The sequence below is a fragment of the Homo sapiens genome, chromosome 14 (genome assembly GCF_000001405.40).
Source record: "Homo sapiens chromosome 14, GRCh38.p14 Primary Assembly".
Classification (NCBI taxonomy): domain Eukaryota; kingdom Metazoa; phylum Chordata; class Mammalia; order Primates; family Hominidae; genus Homo; species Homo sapiens.
The window spans coordinates 24,572,881-24,576,809 of NC_000014.9; the positions used below are offsets into that span (position 1 = coordinate 24,572,881).

A 3,929-nucleotide genomic window follows, 5' to 3' on the forward strand; every position below is an offset into this window, starting at 1 on the left:
TATCTAGTTGTTCTAATGCTATTTATTAAAAATCCATTGTTTCCCAGTGATTTGAGATGCCACCTTTTTCATACACTAAAGTAGGTCTTTTTTTTTGGAATTTCAGTTCTGTCTTTTTGGCCTGCCAGTCTTTTTTTTTTTCTTTCTTGGAATGGTGTCTTGCTCTGTCGCTCAGGCTGGAGTGCATGGTTCACTGAAGCCTCAACCTCGTGGGTTCAACTAATCCTTCCACTTTAGCCTCCCAAGTAGCTGGGACTATAGACACATGCCACCATGCCTGGCTAATTTTAAAATTTTTGTGTAGAGACAGTGTTTCCCTATGTTTCCCAGACCTAATCCCCAATGTGATGGCATTAGGTGGGGCCTTTGGGATGTGATTAGGTCGTAAAAGCTGAGCTCTTTGAATGAGACTAGGTCCCTTGTAAAAGAGACATCAGAGAATTCCCTTGCCCCTTTTGCCATATGTGGACACAGGGAGAGGATGGTTGTCTGTGAACCAGAAAATGGGCCCTAATTAGACACTGAATCTGCTAGTGACTTGATCTTAGACTTCTTAGCCTCTAGACCTGTGAGAAATAAATTTGTTATTTATAAGCCACCCAATTTGTGCTATTTTGTTGTAGCAATCCAAACAAACTAAGTACTGAATGACGTTTAATGAACAAATGAGGAATTGGTTATTTATACTCTGTGGACGTTTATTAAGGCTCTGGCAACACTGTGGAGCTGGCCTGTGTCCCCGAGAAGAAGAGTCAGTCACAGGGGGGTCTCCATCTGATCCAGCAGTTTGAAGCTTCTCATTGTTGTCCTTATCCAGGGCAGGAAACTTGAGACCCTGGTGAAGACTTCTGGAGGAACCCCTGACGACTTTCCATAGGAGACGATGCCGTGGGCCACATTGTTACACAGCAGGGGGCCTCCGGAATCCCCCTGTAGGTAGAGAGGAGAAGGGAGACTGAGACAGGCCTCCCTGCTCCTGCTTCCCTGAGCTCCGGGCTCTCAGGGAAGGCAGGGGTGGGTGGGCCCCTTCAATTGCTGGGTGTGTGTGAGATGGAAGATCGGTGGGGTACAGGAGCCAAGCCTCTGGATCTTTTCGGTCGCTGGACTTCAGCTCTGCCTTAATTACTGTCTCCAGCCCAATCTGAGTCAAGGTACCTCTCCCTTCTCCAGGAGAATGTTGCCTATGTATGTGTTGTGGGTCTTCCTCCTATTCCCCCAGAGACCAGGTTGATGGGGAAAACAATCCCCAGCCCACCCTGGTCTGGCTGCCAGGCTGAGGCTGTGGGGATGGAATCTGTTCGCACTGCCTGGCTCTGCACGGGCCCCTCTCTCCCGGGGTGTGTTGGCCAATGCCCATGCCTTACCTTGAAGGCAGCCTTCCGTTCCCGCCGGTCCCCCACACAAATCTGCCTTCGGGGGTCGTAGGAACCGAAGATGCGGAGGCACTGCCTATCCCTCTGCACTCTCAGCTGCACCTCTCGGAGTGTATCTGTTCCCCTCCTCATGCTGACCCTGCCCCAGCCGGCCACAGTGCACAGCGTCCCGGGTCTCAGTCCCTCCTGGGCTCTAGGCAGAGCCACTGGGTTCACGTTTCGATTCCGTCTGACTCTTCTGCTCAGCTGGAGGAAGAATGTAGGCGTTCCCGCTCAGCTGGGGCCTCCAGCCAAGGCTCGGGGGTCGCTGGTGCAGTACACATCCCATGCCCTCCCCGCCACCCCGGAGCCTTGCCCTCACTTCCTCCTCCATTGTCCCCGGACACACTAGGAAGGAGCCAGAGGGCCAGGTAGGTGGTACCTGCAATAACATGATGTCATTCTGGATGGTCCGCTGATTATATTGAGGGTGGCGGATGGCTCTGCGCGCAGTGATGTGTTGCTGGGTGTTTTCCCGTCTCTGGATATTGTGGGCGCCCAGGGTGACATTTATATTGCTGCAAAAGCAAGAGGTAGGTCTGGGCTGCAGGAGCTATGGTCCACCAGCTCTGCAGGGTAGGCAGACAGCACGGGGAGGGCAAGACTGCAGCTAACCAGAATCGAGGGGATGGGAGGGCCCTGGGGCTCAGCTGTATCCTCTTTCTCAGCAGCTCTGAGCTAGGGATGACAGGGTGGTACTTGCCTTCAGGTTTGCTTCCCCAGATTAAGTTGATAAATAGCCTGAGTTTATATTTTGAGCCCCAATATGTGTCTTCCATCTCTTCCTCTTGCTCTTTTTGATCTTATCCTCCTTTCCTCCTCATTTACACTGGCCTGTTCCCTCCCGCAAAGACTCACTTGGTCTTTCTTTCACCCTTTCATTGCTACAACTCTTCTTTCAGATGGCTCTTCCACCGAAGAGCTCCGCAGGGCTGTGTTCCTGGCTGGCCAGGAAGTTCCTTAGCTCCTCACCTTCCCCAGCAATGAGCTGCTGTCAGCACAAAGTCTTCTCGCACCAGGAACCCTCCACATCTGCTCTGACCTGCTGGACTCTGGATCTGAAGATACGCCATGTAGGGGCGGGAGTGGGGCCTGCTCTCCCGGCCTCCGATGATCTCCCCTGGAAGGAAGCATTTGGCACTTAGCTCTATGCTTGCTGAACCTGCAATGTGGGTACCAGATTGGTGGCTCCAGAAAGGCTGGAAGATGGGGACGGCAGGAGAGAGGGTGCAGGAGAGGGAGGAGATGGTGCTGAGGCTTGGAGTCTATGGGGCAGCAGATTGGGAGGGGGCTCCAGGGTTCTACAGGAAACACTGCTGTCTTGAAAGGAGCCCTTTTCCCCATCCTAGGCCTCACCTCCCTCCTCCTCTCCAAAAGAGGGAGAACAACCCTTGTTCCAGGCAAGGCCAGCTTCAGCCTCAGGTATTGAGGAGAATGCTTTGCTGTAAGTACAGGATTGTTCCTGAAGTTCCCTTATACTTTTATCCTCATGGAGCTTCCCAGAGCCCTCTGAGTCCAATTCAAGACCACGTGGGACTGGTGTTTAAAAATCTAGACATGAGCTGATGGTACTGTTATTGCTGTATTCTTACCTCCTAGGTAGGGTCTGACACATGCTGCCAAATTATTTACACAAAGCATGTTTTTATAGCACTTATAGTGTGCGGGCAATTCCAAGACATTTAAATACTCTAACTTATTTAACTCTCATGGCAACTCTGCAAGATCGGTATTAATATTATTCTCATTTTATAGATGAGGAAACACAAATTCAAATAACTTGCTCAACAGTACAGAATTAGGATATACCAAGGCAATTTGGCTCAAGAATCTATGGGATGAGGTCAGGCCTCTGAGGGTGGGGATGGTCACTCACCTGCCTCAGCCCCAGTGGGTAGGAGAAAGGCCAGCAGAAGCAGGAGTGGCTGCATCTTTCCTGAAAGGCTGCCCAGTCAGTTGCTGCTGTGCTTCCTCCTCCTAGACTTTAAGGCCCTGAGAGAGGAAGGAAGGGGTGGGGACAGGGGATTGAGAATTCACAGTCCCATTCTCCTGCTACCATGAAAGGTTTCATCACCCAAGGCTGCTCAGGAAGTTTGCCCACAAACTGCCGGAGATGTGGGTGAGACCGTGTAATCCAAGCCAACATAGTGAGCTCTTGAGCAGCTGCTAAGTCAGTGCCGAGAGCAGAAATAGGAACCCAGCACAACAAGGAAGGGGCTTGGGGCATTGTGTCCAGAACCCTCAACCCATCAAATTCCAGAATACTCCAGCAAAGCAAGAAAGCTGGCAGCTGCCCACTTCCTGTTTTCTACTCCTCTGGGATTAGATCATTATTGCTTTTGAATTTCTGGGTTTCTCCTAATGAATGCAAGTTCCCTGGATTGCTTATCTGTATATACTTAATAAGTCTGGGACAAGGATGAATGAAAGGGTGTGGTGTGGTGAGGGATGTGGGTAAGAACATCAGGAAAAAGTTGAAGGGGGCAGAAGAGGAAAGGGTAAGCCTGCCTGCTTTCA

General features: G+C 51.0%; 1 protein-coding gene across 2 annotated transcripts; it reads right to left on the minus strand.

Annotated features, from left to right (window-relative positions):
* Positions 1 to 637: 637 nt before the first annotated feature.
* Positions 638 to 3,370, minus strand: CTSG (cathepsin G). Of its 2 annotated transcripts, none has more exons than NM_001911.3 (5): positions 3,289 to 3,370; positions 2,385 to 2,532; positions 1,795 to 1,930; positions 1,365 to 1,619; positions 638 to 930 (listed from the first exon to the last, which is right to left on the minus strand). In NM_001911.3, the coding sequence occupies exons 1-5, from the start codon at positions 3,341 to 3,343 to the stop codon at positions 757 to 759; spliced, it is 768 nt and encodes a 255-aa protein (NP_001902.1). In that variant the 5' UTR covers positions 3,344 to 3,370; the 3' UTR covers positions 638 to 756. The 2 variants fall into 2 exon arrangements, with proteins under 2 accessions (NP_001902.1, XP_011534801.1); XM_011536499.2 differs by having other exon boundaries at positions 2,385 to 2,574.
* Positions 3,371 to 3,929: the final 559 nt, after the last annotated feature.

Bases quoted from the DNA above. Each gene is read 5' to 3' on its own strand.
- CTSG (XM_011536499.2), bottom strand. From the start codon at position 3,343: ATGCAGCCACTCCTGCTTCTGCTGGCCTTTCTCCTACCCACTGGGGCT. The intron at 1,620-1,794 runs GTACCACCTACC...TTCTTCCTCCAG, and splicing joins ATGACATCATGTTATTGCAG to CTGAGCAGAAGAGTCAGACG. The intron at 931-1,364 runs GTAAGGCATGGG...CTCTACCTACAG, and splicing joins AACGGAAGGCTGCCTTCAAG to GGGGATTCCGGAGGCCCCCT.